The following is a 15,874-nucleotide window of genomic DNA, read 5'->3' as shown; positions in this document are numbered from 1 at the left end:
AGCCCTTCCTCTCTCCCCTCCTGAGACTGTGTCTAAAAGGAAGACTACTGCCTATCACTCAGCTCAGAGATCAAACCTTTAACTCCTTATAAATACTTAGGATATCTGAAAAGTGCAGTCAACCATCCTTAGGCCTCCTAAAGTATCAACTTTTGAGTGGGCGCCATGGCTCACGCCTTTAATCCCAGCACTTTGGGAGGCCCAGGTTGGTGGATCACTTGAGGTCAGTTGGAGACAAGCCTGGCCAACATGGCGAAACCCTGTAACCACTATAAACACAAAAATTAGCTGGGTGTAGTGGTGCATACCTGTAATCCCAGCTACTAGGGAGGCTGATAATCACTTCAACCTGGGAGGAGGAGCTTGCAGTGAGCCGAGACCATGGCTCTCCAGCCTGGGTGACAGAGCGAGACTCCATCTCAAAAAAAAAAAAAAAAAAAAAAACCCACCAAAATTTAGCTGAGCATGGTAGCAGGCACCTGTAATTCTAGCTACTCGGGAGGCTGAGGCAGGAGAATTGCTTGAACCCAGCAGGTGGAGGTTGCAGTCAGCCGAGATCTTGCCACTGCACTCCAGCCTAGGAGACTCCATCTCAAAACAACAACAACAACAACAAACAAGTATCAGCTCTTTGAATCTAGGTATAGAGGTTACTCAGTAAGAAGATCATAGTAAATAATTGCCTGTTAGTGCACAAAGCATAAGACACCCCCTCTTTTCTCTGTGGCCTCTGGGTACATGCAGTAGATTTTAAAGTTCAAAATCCAGCTTACCAACCTTTGTACCATTTGTCAACTGGCAACTAAATGTTAACAGTGAATCCAGGAAAATAGAGGATGCTTCAAAGAAGGAAACGCGAGAGTACCCTGCACCCAAACAGCCTCTGGCCTGAGGAACAAGGAACAGACCAATGTTCTGGCCCTGGTGCAAGTGAATGTTTGGCATAGTCTGCTGGCAACAACAGAAGTTATTACCTGAAAACTCATTCTGAAGGTGGAGGATGTTGGGGTGAGTCATTCCTTTTGGGAGGATGATGGAGGTAGGGGAAGGGTGCAAGAAGATCAAAAGGGGACCCAGAGCCATAGGACTGAGAGAAGTGTAGTACATTTTAGGGTCTCCTTATGAGATTAATTATAGGAGGGTACTACAGCAGAGGGAAAACAAAATATGCAACCAGCATTTCTTCCATTTCTTTGTGCCTATTGTGAGTGGTATTCCTTGTTTGGCATTTTACAAATGTGATTTCATTTAGTTTTTTTTTTTTTTTTTTTTTTTTTTTGAGATGGAGTCTCGCTCTGTTGCCCAGGCTAGAGTGCAGTGGCACGATCTCGGCTCACTGCAACCTCCGCCTCCCAGGTTCAAGCGATTCTCCTGCTTCAGCTTCCTGAGTAGCTGGGATTACAGGCGCGCACCACCACAGCTGGCTGATTTTTGTATTTTTAGTAGAGACGGGGTTTCACCAAGTTGGCCAGTATGGTCTCGAACTGCTGACCCCAAGTGATCCTCCCGCCTCGGTGTCCCAAAGTGCTGGGATTACAGGTGTGAGCCACCGCGCCCGGCCCTGGCCTCATTTAATCTTAATTACCATGTGTTGTTACTTATTTTTTATGTGTGTCCTGCTTTCTTATCTGGAGTCTATTAAATTAGAAAATATTTGTTGTACTCCAAAAAGGAGAGATTAATTGTACATTTCCATTCTAGAGCGTCAGGGAAAACTAGGAATAAAACCAGCCGTTTAAATAAAACTGGTCTGGATGAATATGATCTAGAAGTATAAGGGTTTTCTTCAAAGCCTTACATCCTCTATTGTTGAGATTTCTGTCATCTTAGAAGCATAGAAAGTAATTCTGTATTCCACATTCCTCATCTAAAAGCTAAGAAAACTGAAGCCCAGAGAAGGTAAAGTAATTGTCCCAGGTCACCCAGCTAGAAAGTGGCAGATAGTTGACTAGAAACCTCATTAAAAAGGCCAGGCGCAGTGGCTCATGCCTATAATCCCAGCACTGTGGGAGACCGAGGCGGACGAATCACCCGAGGTCGGGAGTTCGAGACCAGGCTGACCAACATGGAAAAACCCCGTCTCTACTAAAAATACAAAAAATTAGCCGGACATAGTGGCACATGCCTGTAATCCCAGCTACTTAGGAGGCTGAGGTAGGAGAATCGCTTGAACCCGGGAGGTGGAGGTTGCGGTGAGCCGAGATCGCGCCATTGCACTCCAGCCTGGGCAATAGGATCGGAACTCCGTCTCAAAAAAAAAAAAAGAAAAGAAAAGAAAAGAAAAGAAAAGAAAAAAGAAACCTCATTAAAAAAGAAAGAGAGTCAGAAATACAGCTGAGATTTACTGACTTTTTTTTTTTTTTGAGATGGAGTCTTGCTCTGTCCGCCAGGCTGGAGTGTGGTGGCGCGATCTCAGCTCACTGCAACCTCTGTCTCCCGGGTTCAAGCAATTCTCCTGCCTCAGCCTCCTTAGTAGCTGGGATTACAGGCACGTGCCACCATCCCCAGGTAATTTTTTGTGTGTTTAGTAGAGATGGGTTTTCGCCATGTTGGCCAGGCTGGTCCCAAACTCCTGACCTCAAGTGATCTGCCTGCCTCTGCCTGCCAAAGTGCTGGGATTACAGGCGTGAGCCACCATGCCTGGCTGGTTTACTGACTTTGAAGTCAAGAAATCTTTTACTGTACTACTGTGCAATTATGACCCTCATAGATTTTCTGGCAGAAATGGTAAATAAAAAAAACAGACGTGGCCGGGTGCGGTGGCTCACGCCTGTAGTCCCAGCACTTTGGGAGGCGAGGTGGGCAGATCATGAGGTCAGGAGTTCAAGACCAATATAGTGCCAACATAGTGAAATCCCATCTCTACTAAAAATACAAAAAATTAGCCGGGCATGGTGGCGGCGCCTGTAATCCCAGCTACTCGGGAGGCTGAGGCAGGAGAATGGCTTGAACCCAGGAGGCAGAGGTTGCAGTGAGCTGAGATCGCGCCATTGCACTCCAGCCTGGGCGACAGAGCAAGACTCCGTCTCAAAAAAACAAAACAAAACAAAACAAAACAAAACAAAACAAAAAGAGATCGAGACCATCATGGCCAACATGGTGAAACCCCATCTCTACTAAAAATACAAAAAAAATTAGCTGGGTGTCGTAGCATGCTCCTGTAGTCCCAGCTACTCGGGAGGCTGAGGCGGGAGAATCGCTTGAACCCAGGAGGCGGAGGTTGCAGTGAGCCGAGATCGCGCCACTGCACTCCAGCTTGGGCGACAAAGCGAGACTCCGTCTCAAAAAAAAAATTTGTTCTCTCTAAAAAAACAGATGTCATATGAAATATTCTCCTAGGGCTGGAACTTGGGCAAAAATCTGTAAACAAAACACTTGAGTCCACTTCTTACAAATTAAGTTTCACTAGCACACGTCTTGTTTTAATTACCACAGGGAGTGCTCTTGACAGTTCCAGTCTCCTCAACCTCTTCCTCTTCGTAAGCCTTTCTCCTCTGCTTTGCATCCCTGTCCCCAATCACAAGAATAGGACTGATAAGTAGAGCTCTGCAATATGGGTTATGAACACCTGCAGTTTAAGACAAGTAAACAATTGATGGCAGCAGTGGCCTGTCTGGAGCGGCTACTGTGAAGATGCCAGCTGTAGTGTGGGAGGCACGGTGGGGGCTGCGTGCTCCGTGGAGCTGGCCGGAGCCCCACCCTCTTCTGAGTTGGCCGGGTGGGAGCCCCACGCTTTCCGGCACAGCTGCAACCACCCAGCCACAGCTGCAGACCTGGACATCCCTGTGCTCTCGGGGGCTGGGAAGACCCCCTGACCCGCAGGCTTGGAAGTGCCTGCTCCTGCTGCCTGGCCTCTCCTTGCTCCTGGAGCCCACTCTGGGGTGGAGCAAAGTTGTGGCTGAGGCCAAGCGCTGTCTAGACCCAGCTGGGTGTGCGTGCGCCTGGGGCGCCGCTGACATGCCAGCCCCCTGCCACCCTGGCCCCCTCTAGGCTTTGGGCACTGAGAAGCACAGGAGAGAGGCTGGCGGCGTGGGGTGGGGGAGCTGAGGGCACTCGGTGCGGGCTGCCGGTACTCCTCTGCAGGAACAGCCTGGGCGCTGTGGATGACATGATTGATGGTGGCAGGAGGCAGACAGGCTCCTGGGCGGAAAGAGGTGGGTCCCCGGTAAAGCCCCACCATCAAGCCAGGGAGGCCTGAAGCCCAGGGGCTAGGCTGTCAGTCCCGGGTGAAGTCTGTGGCCCGGAGTGAGAACTTATGGTGATTTTTCCGGGTCAGCCCATGGCCACCCATGGGCCAATCAGCATGCACTTCCTCCCTTCTGAGCCTAGCCAGACTCACACAGACGCTGGGACTACCAGCTGTGGGAAGGAGCTACCCAATTCAGGTCTCCTCGACTCATCAAGACAACCTGCCTGAAGAAGGGAGCTACCCACTCTGGGTCTCTTCTCCACTGAGAGCTGGACACTTACTGGGACAACCTGCCTGCGGAAAGGAGCTACCCACTTCAAGTTTCCCGAGAGCTGTTCTGTCACTCGATAAGGCTCCTCTCCGCCTTGCTCACCCTCTAGTTGTCCGCGTACCTCATTCTTCCTGGATGTGGGACGAGAACTCAGGACCCACTGAATGGCGGGACTGAAAGAGCAGTAACACAAACAGGGCTGAAACACGCCCTCCTCCCGTCCCCACACCCCCGCGACTTGCCATGTTGCGGGTGATGTGAAGGAGAGAAGTGCTGTGGCCCTTCAGGGAGCACAGACCTAGGGGCTCCCTGAGCCAGGGCTGTGACACCCTCTTTGGGGCTCTGCGGTTTCTGGTATCTTCAAACTTCCGGGCACCACTGCATTCCCCTTGTCCAGACACAGGTGCCCACAGCAGAAGCCGCTTGTGGTTCATCAGATCCAGCTGCAGACTTGCATAGAACCGGCACCTTTGCCGGCGCCTGGAGCTGCCTGCCCAGCTGCAGCAGCTGGTGTGTCCGGCTCTGCGCAGTGGCCAGACCCTGCGTTCGCTCGCCTGCACACCCCTCGCTGTTCCGTGCCTGGCTCACCCTCGGCAGGCGTGGAATCCTGGCTGGTAGCATGAGCTGAGCACAGCCTGCCAGGCCACGTCAGTGGAACAAGTCTGGCGGGCCTGATCAAAACTCAGGCAAAGGCACCACTGGTCACAGAGCTTTCTAGCTGGAAAAGCAACACCTGAAGGATCCCGTGACACAATCAACCTGCTAGGAGATCCCTGCCACCCTGAGAGGCTGCAGGAAGCTGCCTCCATCCAGGCCTCTTCACAGAAGGAGAATTGCAGAGACCGTAGGATTTTTCTACTCACAGGAACAGATGGTGTCCGGTCAGGAAGGTAAAATGCTTCAAGAAAAGTGCAATAGGGATTATAATACTGATGATCTGAGACTCTGATAATGACTCTGAGATGATTCCCAATTCTATGATGAATCATCTCAGAATGACTCCGAGATGATGATTCCTGATTCTACGATGATTGAGGCAGAGCTCACTGGTTGGTGAATCTAGTTGGTAGAGCTGAGGCACCGCAATACCATCATTTCTTTCTGAGGTGAGAGCTGTCCCAATGCTTTGAAAATGGTCTACTGGCTGCTCTACCTGTGGAGTAGCCATTCTTTATTCCTTTACTTTCCTAATAGACTTGCTTTCACGGCTGGGTGTGGTGACTCATGCCTGTAATCCCAACACTTCGGGAGGTGGAGGTGGGCAGATCACTTGAGGTCAGGAGTTCAAGACCAGCCTGGTCAACATGGTGAAATGCCATCTCTACTAAAAATACAAAAATTCGCCGGGTGTGGTGGCACATGCCTGTAATCCCAGCTACTCAGGAGGCTGAGGCAGGAGAATGGCTTGAACCCGGGAGGTGAAGGTTGCAGTGAACCGAGATTGTGCCACTGTACCCCAGCCTGGGTGACAGAGTGAGACTCTGTCTAAAAAACAAAATAAAACAAAAACAAAAACAAACAAACTAAACTTGCCTTCATTTTAAAAAAATGGTCCACATCTCTTCATTTATGTTCTTGCCTCATAGATAGAATACACACTTATCCTCAGACAGGGATTATGGATTTTCCCATCCATGCAAGTGACTTAGAGAATGCCAGCCTTTTGCCATGGTGCCAAAGGGTAGTTGACTCAGTGAGTCCTTTTAGGAAAGTGGAGCTAAGTGTACTTGTGTGGTGGAAAAAGCAGGGTTTTTTTGTTTTTTTGGCCAGGCACATTTAGATGCAAATGTCCGTGCTGCCCAGTTACCAGCTGTGTGAGTTTAGACAAGGTACTTGAATTTGAGTGTGATTATGTGTAAAATGAAGTGAATAATAATAGCTTCCTCCTCCTAGGGTTGTAAATACTAAATGATGTTGTAAAGCCCTTTGTAGAGTGCCTAGAATATAACAGGCACCCTCTAAATGTTTGTTCCTTTCTGGCTACCTGGCGATATAAGGATCCCAACTATTTTTGGGTTAGGAAGAACAGCTGCGAATGGCCTAATGGTGCCCTAAAGTTGTTTTATCCTGCCCTTACACAGGACCATTCTCTTATTCATTGACCTTTGGCATGAAGCATTGACCTTCCTCACGAATAATAAATGTGTAATGATTCTTGTTTGCCAACCAATGAGGTATGGCTCAATAGTCATAGAATCAGGAATCATTAGAGTATGGATAATCAGTATTGTAAACCCCACTGCACTTTGCTTGGAGCATTTTATCTGCCTGGCCAGACACCTTGTGAACAGGGTTCAATCCAGAACACATCATCTGGGTAAATTATTTACAAGTCTGTCTCACTTTAGAAGTGGACCTTATTCAGGACCTAAATAGCATTCAACTATAATCTACACTTGGAGATTTTTTTTTAAAGAAGCAAACTTACAGAAAAGATGAAAGTAGGAGAAAATTTTCAAAAGGCCATGATTCAGAATATATCAATTCACACAACTTTTCTTCCTTGTTCTTTTTTTTTTTTTTTTTTGAGACAGAGTCTTGCTCTGTCACCCAGGCTGGAGCACAGTGGCACGATCTTGTGTCACTATAAACTCCACCTCCCGGGTTCAAGCAATTCTCCTGCCTCAGCCTCCCAGGTAGCTGGGATTACAGGTGTGCACCACCACGCCTGCCTAATTTTTGTATTTTTAGTAGAGACAGGGTTTTACCATGTTGGCCAGGCTGGTCTCGAACTCCTGACCTCAAGTGATCCGCCTGCCTTGGCCTCCCAAAGTGCTGAGATTACAGGCGTGAGCCACTGTACCTGGCCCTTTGTTCTTTTTATAGATATTTTACAGATACCGGATAGGAGGAGATTATGCAGTTATAATACTTAGAATCTGGACAGGACAGCAGACATAACCATTTCCCAGACTTTCTATTTTTTTTCCTTTTTTAAAAAAAATGTCAGAAACCTATTTGTTGCTAAATTTTCCCAAACTTTCTTTCAGTACCTAGTCTCTGAAGCCATGGTTAAAAACAAAAATAGGGCTGGGCGCGGTGGCTCATGCCTGTAATCCCAGCACTTTGGGAGGCCGAGGCGGTCGGATCATGAGGTCAGGAGATCGAGACCATCCTGGCTAACACGTTGAAACCCCGTCTCTACTAAAAAATACAAAAAAAATTAGCCCGGTGTGGTGGCGGGCACCTGCAGTCCTAGCTACTCAGGAGGCTGAGACAGGAGAATGGCATGAACCCTGGAGGTGGAGCTTGCAATGAGCCAAGATCATGCCACTGCACTCCAGCCTGGGCAACAGAGCAAGATTCCATCTCAAAAAAAAACCAAAAACCAAAAAACAAAAAACAAATTTAAGGACCTGTGAATAGTAGTTAAGCACTCTTTATTTACCTTCTGTAATATATATTAGTGCAACACAATTCTCAATTTTGTAATTCTTATTCTACATTTGGAATGTGCCAAATTTATTGAAGACTATAAATTAACACATTTAAGAATTCCAGTGAATCCCAAGCTGCATAAACACAAAGGAAACTACAAGGCATTTCAGAATCAAATTTCTGAAAACCAGTGATTCTTTTTCTTTTTCTTTTTCTTTTTTTTGAGATGGAGTCTTGCTTTGTCACCCAGGCTGGAGTGCAGTGGTGCAATCTTGGCTCACTGCAACCTCTGCCTCCCAGGCTCAAGCGATTCTCCTGCCTCGGCCTCCTGAGGAGCTGGGACTACAGGCATGTGCCACCATCACCGGCTAATTTTTGTATTTTTAGTGGAGACAGGGTTTCACCATGTTGGCCAGGCTGGTCTTGGACTCCTGACCTCAAGTGATCCACCCACCCTAGCCTCCCAAAGTGTTGGGATTACGGGCGTGAGCCATCACACCTGGCCTGATTGAGAGAAAATTTTAAAGATGAGACTGATGACTGGTTTCTCATTAAAAACAATGCAAACCAGAGATGGTGGAATGACATCTTTAATGAGCTAAAAGAAAAAAACTGCCAGCCTAGAATTTTATATCCAGTGAAAATGTTCTCCAAAAATGAAGGCATAACCCAAAAATGGATTTATATTTCAGGAAATCTAAAGATGAAAGAATTCATCACTAAAACTGTACTACGAGAAATGCTAAAGGAAGTTGTTCAAACTGATGGAAAATTATACCAGATGGACACTTGAATTTGCCCAAAGGAATGAAGAGCACCAGAAATGGCAAATGTGTGGGTAAATAGAAAATATATTTTTCTTGTTTTTAACATCTATAAAAGATATTTAACTATCTAGGGTGAAAGTAATGGACATGTATTATGGGCTTTATAACTTTTGTAGAAGTGGCCGGGCACAGTGGCTCACACCTGTAATCCTAGCACTTTGGGAGGCTGAGGCGAGTGGATCACTTGAGGTCAGGAGTTCAAAATTAGCCTGGCCAACATGGTGAAACCTCGTCTATACTAAAAATACAAAAAATTAGTGGGGCAGCCGGGCGTGGTGGCTCATGCCTGTAATCCCAGGACTTTGGGAGGCTGAGGCAGGTGGATCACCTGAGGTCAGGAGTTTGAGACCAGCCTGGCCAACATGGTGAAACCCCGTCTCTACTAAAAATACAAAAATTTTAGCCAGGCATGGTGGTGTATGCCTGTAATCCTAGCTACTCAAGAGGCTGAGGCAAGAGAATCACTTGAACCCGGGAAGCGGAGGTTGCAGAGAGCCGAGATTGCGCCATTGTACTCCAGCCTGGGCAACAGAGTGAAACTCAGTCTCAAAAAAAAAAAAAAAAAAAAAAAAAAAAAAAAAAAAAAAAAAGAAGGGAATGGCTTAGGGTAGGCAACTAAAGGTTTTATTAGGTTCAGTCCTGGACACACAGAAAAAGAAGAACCTCAAAGGCCAAAATTAGCAAATTGGCACCACTCAAGCTGGTACTGCAGTGGGCACAAGAATACCCTGATGCAAGAACTTTAGTGGCTGAATCTTGAGACAGGGATCTGTATATATATATATATTTATATTTATTTATTTATTTTGAGACAGAGTCTCACTCTTTCACCAGGCTGGAGTGCAGTGGCGCGATCTTGGCTCACTGCAACCTCTGACTCCCTGGTTCAAGCAATTCTCCTGCCTCAGCCTCCCAAGTAGCTGGGATTATAGATGGGGTTTCACCATGTTGGCCAGGATGGTCTCCATCTTTTGCCCTCATGATCCGCCCACCTCGGCCTCTCAAAGTGCTGGGATTACAGGTGTGAGCCAATGCGCCCGGTCAGGTATCTGTATATTGTGGAGATAGATACATCAGTCTGTCTTTATTCATTCATTTGTTTAACAGATTTTTTTTACTGTGTCAGGTACTATTAAAATCTCTGGAATTATAACAGTAGAAAAATCAGACAAATCTTTACCATCATGGTGTTTACATTCTTGTGAATGTATCTTAGCTGAATGCAACTGATTTCATGTTCATCAATAAATCTTCTAGTTATAATTGGGCTTCTCATGACCCTCAAGCAGACCCACATCTCATTATAAATTAAAAAATTGAGGCCAGGCCGGGTGTGGTGGCTCATGTCTGTAATCCCAGCACTTTGGGAGGCCGAGGCGGGTGGATCATTTGAGGTCAGAAGTTCGAGACCAGCCTGGTCAACATGGTGAAACCCCGTCTCTACTAAAAATACAAAAACTAGCCGGGTAGTGGTGATATGTGCCTGTAATCCCAGCTACTTGGGAGGCTGAGGCAGGAGAATCTCTTGAGCCTAGGAAGTGGAGGTTGTGGTGAGCCAAGATTGCACCACTGCACTCCAGTCTGGGCGAGAGAGTGAGACCCTGTCTCAAAAAAAAAAAAAAAAAAAAAAAGGCTGGGTGTGGTGGCTCACGCCTGTAATGCCAGCACTTAGGGAGGCTGAGGCGGGTGGATCACAAGGATAGGAGTTTGAGACCAGCCTGACCAACATGGTGAAACCCCGTCTCTACTAAAAAATATAAAAATTAGCCGAGCATGGTGGTGTGCACCTATAATCCCAGCTACTCCGGAAGCTGAGGCAGGAGAATCACTTGAACCCAGGAGGTGGAGGTTGCAGTGAGCTGAGATTGCGCCATTGCACTCCAGCCTGGGTGACAGAGTGAGACTCCGTCTCAAAAAAAAAAAAAAATGAGGCCAGATGTGGTGGCTCAGGCCTGTAATCCCAGGAGGCTGAGGTGTGAGGATCACTTGAGCACAGGAGTTCGAGACCAGCCTGGACCACATAGGGAGACCTCGCCTCTACAAAAAAAAAATTAAAAAGTTAGCTGGGCATGGTGGTGTGCACCTGTGGTCCCAGCTACTTGGGAGGCTAAAGTGGGAGGATTGCTTGAGCTTGGGAGGTTGAGGCTGCAGTGAGCCATGACTGCACCACTGTACTTGAGCCTGGGTGACCAAGTGAGAGACCCTGTCTCAAAAAAAAAAATTGATATTCTAATTTCATGTATCAGTCTCTTGGCAAATGTGAGTCCTCCTACACACACAGATTTACCTTTAGTGAAGTGACAAATCAAGTTTCAGACTAGCATATCGGAGGGCCAGTATCTGAACCATGGTAAACTCAACAAGGCATTTCAATCCTGTGAGCCACTGTGGGAGACAAAGAGCCACACAGCTTTTTCCAGTTAATGACACCAACTGCTCAGGGTAGCCTTTCCCTTATTTAGAGTGTTTACACGTATTCATATATGTGAAAGGGATACAAGATGCAAATATTAAATTACAAGCATTTGAAATCTATCCAAGGAAGGAGTACTGACCTTGAAACTGATTTGGCAATGCATTATGAATTAATTGGATTAAAAATCATTCCTTGGAGCATTCAAAGTTAAAAAAAATTCCTGTTGACGGACATTTAGATTTGTTTTCTCTTTCTTTCTCCTCCCTCCCTCCCTCCCTCTTTCTTTCTCTCTCTCTTTCTTTCTCTCTTTCTTTCTTTCTTTCTTTCTTTCTTTCTTTTTTTCTTTCTACTTTCTTTCTTTCCTTCCCTCTTTCTTTCTTCTTTCTTTCTTGATGGAGTCTCGCTCTGTTGCCCAGGCTGGAATGCAGTGGCATGATCTCAGCTCACTGCAACCTCCACCTCCCGGGTTCAAGTGATTCTCCTGCCTCAGCCTCCCAAGTAGCTGGGATTACAGGCGTCTGCCACCAGGCCCGGCTAAATTTTTGTATTTTTAGTAGAGATGGGGTTTCACCATGTTGCTCAGGCTGGTTTCGAACTCCTGAGCTCAGGCAATCTGCCTGCCTCGGCCTCCCAAAGGGCTGGGATTCCAGGCGTGAGCCACTGCGCCTGGCCTTGTTTTTCTTTTCTTTGGCCATTTCAAACAATGTTGTTTGAAACAACATTCTTGTGTATGTCCTTGTGTATGGGGGCAAGAATTTATAGGGTATTTACCTAAGACTGGAGTGCTGGGTCACAGGGTATACACGTATTCAACTTTGTGAAATGGTGCTAACTTGCTCTCCAAAGTGATCATACCAATTTACAACCTGTACTAGCAGTGAATGAGAATTCTTGGTGCTCTTTGTTATCACCAACAGTTGATATTTTCAGACCTTTTGGTTTTGCTTATCTGATGGGTATGAAATGGCATCTTATCATGGTTTAAATTTGATTAATGTGATAGTGATCTTTTCATATGTTTATTGGCCATATATTTTTCTTCTTCTGTAAAATGCTAACTTATAACTTTTGTCCTTTTTTTCTTTGAGACAGTCTTCCTCTGTTGCCCAGGCTGGAGTGTAGTGGCGTGATCTCAGCTCCCTGCGACCTCTGCCTCCCGGGTTCAAGTGATTCTCCTGCCTCAGCCTCCCCAGTAGCTGGGATTACAGGCACCCGCCACCACGCCTGGCTAATTTTTTTGTATTTTTAGTAGAGATGGGGTTTCACCAAGTTGACCAGGCTCGTCTTGAACTCCTGAGCTCAGGTGATCTGCCTGCTTTGGCCTCCCAAAGTGCTGGGATTACAGATGTGAGCCACCATGCTGGGCTGACTTTTGTCCATTTTTGATTGACTTGTTTTTCTTTTTCTTATGCATTTGTAGTAGCCCTTTTATATAATTCATTATTCTAATCCCTCCCCTTTTGCTATTTTTGTTACAGACATGTACTGAATCTGTGGCTAGGATACTTTTTTGTCAATAGTGTCTTTGGTCACATGGAAGTCTTTCAATTTAAAGTAGTCAAGTTTGGCCAGGTGCAGTGGCTCATGCCTGTAATCGCAGCACTTGGAAGGCCGAGGTGGGAGGATCCCTTGAGTCCAGGAGTTTGAGACCAGCCTGGGCAACATGGCAGATCCTATCTCTACTAAAAATTAAAAAAATTAGTTGGGCACGGTGGTGCACACATGTGGTCCCAGCTACTCAGCAGGCTGAGGTGGGAGGATTCCTTGAGTCCAGTAAGTTGAGGATGCAGTGAGCTGTGATAGTGCCACTGCACTCCAACCTGGGCAATAGAGTGAGACCCTGTCTCAAAAAAAAAAAGTCAAATTTATCAATGCATTTTTAACTGAGACTATGTTATTGGGTACAAGCAAGTTCAAAGTTTTTATACTAATATTTTCATGGTGAATTTTTCCTTTTATCATGTTTGTGCCTCTTTATCTTTAGAGTGGTTTTTTATATTATTTATTTTTTATTTATTTTGTTCTATTTTATTTATGTATTTTTTTTTTTGAGATGGAGTTTTGCTCTTTTTGCCCTGGCTGGAGTGCAATGGCACGATCTCAGCTCACTGCAACCTCCACCTCCCTGGTTCAAGCGATTCTCCTGCCTCAGCCTCTCAAGTAGCTGAGATTACAGGCACATGCCACCATGCCTGGCTTATTTTGTATTTTTAGTAGAGATGGGGTTTCACCATGTTGGCCAGGCTGGTCTTGAACTCCTGACCTCAGGTGATCTCATCTTGGCCTCCTAAAGTGCTGGGATTACAGGCGTGAGCCACCGCGCCCAGCCAGTTTTATATTTTTAAATTTTATATGTTATTGTTTATTTATTTATTTATTTTTTTGAGAAAGGGTCTTGCTCTGTCACCCAGGCTGGAGTGCAGTGGTGTGATCACAGCTCACTGCAGCCTTGATCTCCTGGGCACAAGTGATCCTCTGCCTTAGCCTCCCGAGTAGCTGGGACTACAGGCGCATACCATCACCCTGGCTAATTAATACAGCTTTATTTATTTATTTATTTATTTATTTATTTATTTATTGAGGTGGAGTCTCACACTGTTGCCCAGACTGGAGTGTAGTGCTGCCATCTCCGCTCACTGCAACCTCCGCCTCCCGGGTTCCAGCGATTCTCCTGCCTCAGCCTCTTGAGTAGCTGGGATTACAGGCGCCCGCCACTACGCCCGACTAAGTTTTTGTATTTTTAGTAGAGATGGGGTTTCACTATGTTGGCCAGGCTGGTCTTGAATTCCTGACCTCGTGATCTTCCTGCCTCGGCCTCCCAAAGTGCTGGGATTACAGGAGTGAGCCACCGTGCCCAGCCAATACAGCTTTATTTTTGTAAGTATTTACCTGATAAGCGTTTTTCCTAATCTTTACTTTCAGTCTTACTGTATCTTCATGTCAGTGTCATATCAAGGACAAGACAGCAGAAATGGTCCACTCCAGTTGCAGATAGTAAAGACCCTGTAGCTCCAGCATCAGCTCACCTTTCTGGTTTTGAATTTCATGCTTATTACCATCCTGTCATCACCTACTGTTTCCATGGTAGACGGGACTAAGAGATGGGTAAGAATGATACATGTGTAAGGATGTAACCAATAAATGACACAGACTCACATCCACCTGAAAGGGCACAATGAAATAGTAGTAAGAAGTCCAGAATCTATTTTTGCCAAAGTACAGTGGAAAGAAGTGGAAATACAGTTTCCTTATTTATTGGCTTTAGGTGGAAAAGAGTCCTAGATTACAAAAATTAAATGCAGACATAGGCTTCTGAGATGACAATTTTCAAGTCATTTTATTTGCAATATGGTGGGGAGCCCGTCAATTAAGTTAGAACTATCTGTCATTCATTACTTTATAATTTACCAGAGTAAAAATAAATTAGAATACATTTGTCCCCATGGGGAGACAAACCAAAAGGGAGAAATCTTGTCTGAAGGCTTGGAAAATGCTGAATATGTACATGAAAGGGGAACTTGAATACTACAATTTGAGGCCCTGTGATCATCTAGGTTTCTAGATGATGTCTCATTTCCAAGTTTGAGTCCTGTGACTGCAGAGTCCCCTGATTCCACCAGTGACTGCTGTTATCAATGACTGGGGTCATGAACCTACTTTCAGATCTACCCCATTATCGGGTTTTCGTGACAAGTCTCGGGTGCAGGACTGCGCCCTCTGGTGGAGAAGGACACAACTAATTACACATCTGATAATAGCCAGTACTTCCTTTTTTTTTTTTTTTTGCCATTACTTTCAGTGGCAAAAACTGCAATTACTTTTGCACCAACCTAATGTTTGGTAAATGTGTGCTAGCCATCAATTGCTGGCCATTTGACTTTTTGGAGAGTTACTTAATGTCTCTAAACCACAATTTCCTTATCTATAAGATGGTAATACTGACCTCATACAGTTGTTGTGAGTATTAAATAAGATTAGTGCTTATTTAAGGAATTAGTGCTCAATAAACCATACTATCCATACTATTATTTGGTCACTTTTTTTTTTTGGACGGAATCTTGCTCTGTCACCTAGGCTGGAGTGCAGTGGCACAATCTCGGCTCACTGCAACCTCTACCTCTCAGGTTCAAGCAATTCTCATGCCTCAGCCTCCCAAATAGCTGGGACTACAGGCGTGTGCCACCACACTTAGCTAAGTTTTGTATTTTTAGTAGAGATGGGGTTTCATCCTGTTGGCCAGGCTGGTCTCGAACTCCTGACCTCAAGTGATCTGCCCACCTCGGCCCCCCAAAGTGCTGGGATTACAGGCATAAGATACTGTGCCTGGCCCAATCCTGTAATTTTTACCCTGGCAGATTTTTACTAATTATGTTAAACAACAATACAGAAATTCAATAGGAACCCCTTTTAAAAATACCAACTAGTGCCTGGGCGCGCATGGTGGCTGATACCTGTAATCCCAGCACTTTGGGAGTTTGAGGCGTGTGGATCACTTGAGGTCAGGAGTTCGAGACCAGCCTGACCAATATGGTAAAACCCCATCTCTACTAAAAATACAAAAATTAGCTGGGCTTGGTGGCAGGCGCCTGCAATTCCCAGCTACTTGGGAGGCCGAAGCAGGAGAATCGCTTGAACTCAGGAGCCGGAGGTTGCAGTGAGCCGAGATTGTGCCATTCCACTCCAGCCTGGGCAACAAGAGCGCAACTCCGTCTCAAAACAACAACAACAACAACAACAACAAAACAAACCGACTAGTGAGGGTTGCTTCTGGTGATATTCTTTTATGACTTTGC

At 45.8% G+C, this 15,874-nt stretch overlaps 1 long non-coding RNA gene across 2 annotated transcripts in view; it reads left to right on the top strand.

The window, feature by feature from the left end:
- Positions 1-15,874, top strand: part of SAT1-DT (SAT1 divergent transcript) — a 34,045-nt gene that overhangs the window by 11,874 nt on the left and 6,297 nt on the right. The window contains exons 2-5 of one of the 2 annotated variants that reach the window (NR_184057.1): positions 817-1,008; positions 3,436-5,566; positions 8,531-8,676; positions 14,004-15,106. This is a non-coding gene — a long non-coding RNA (SAT1 divergent transcript). Of the gene's footprint in view, positions 1-816; positions 1,009-3,435; positions 5,567-8,530; positions 8,677-14,003; positions 15,107-15,874 lie in introns of those variants that run through there. The other variant, NR_184056.1, reaches the window with a different exon arrangement.

Source organism: Homo sapiens, chromosome X (assembly GCF_000001405.40).
Source record: "Homo sapiens chromosome X, GRCh38.p14 Primary Assembly".
NCBI lineage: Eukaryota > Metazoa > Chordata > Mammalia > Primates > Hominidae > Homo > Homo sapiens.
The sequence above is the reverse complement of the archived record's forward strand: the minus strand, read 5'-3'. Positions and strand labels throughout refer to the sequence as shown.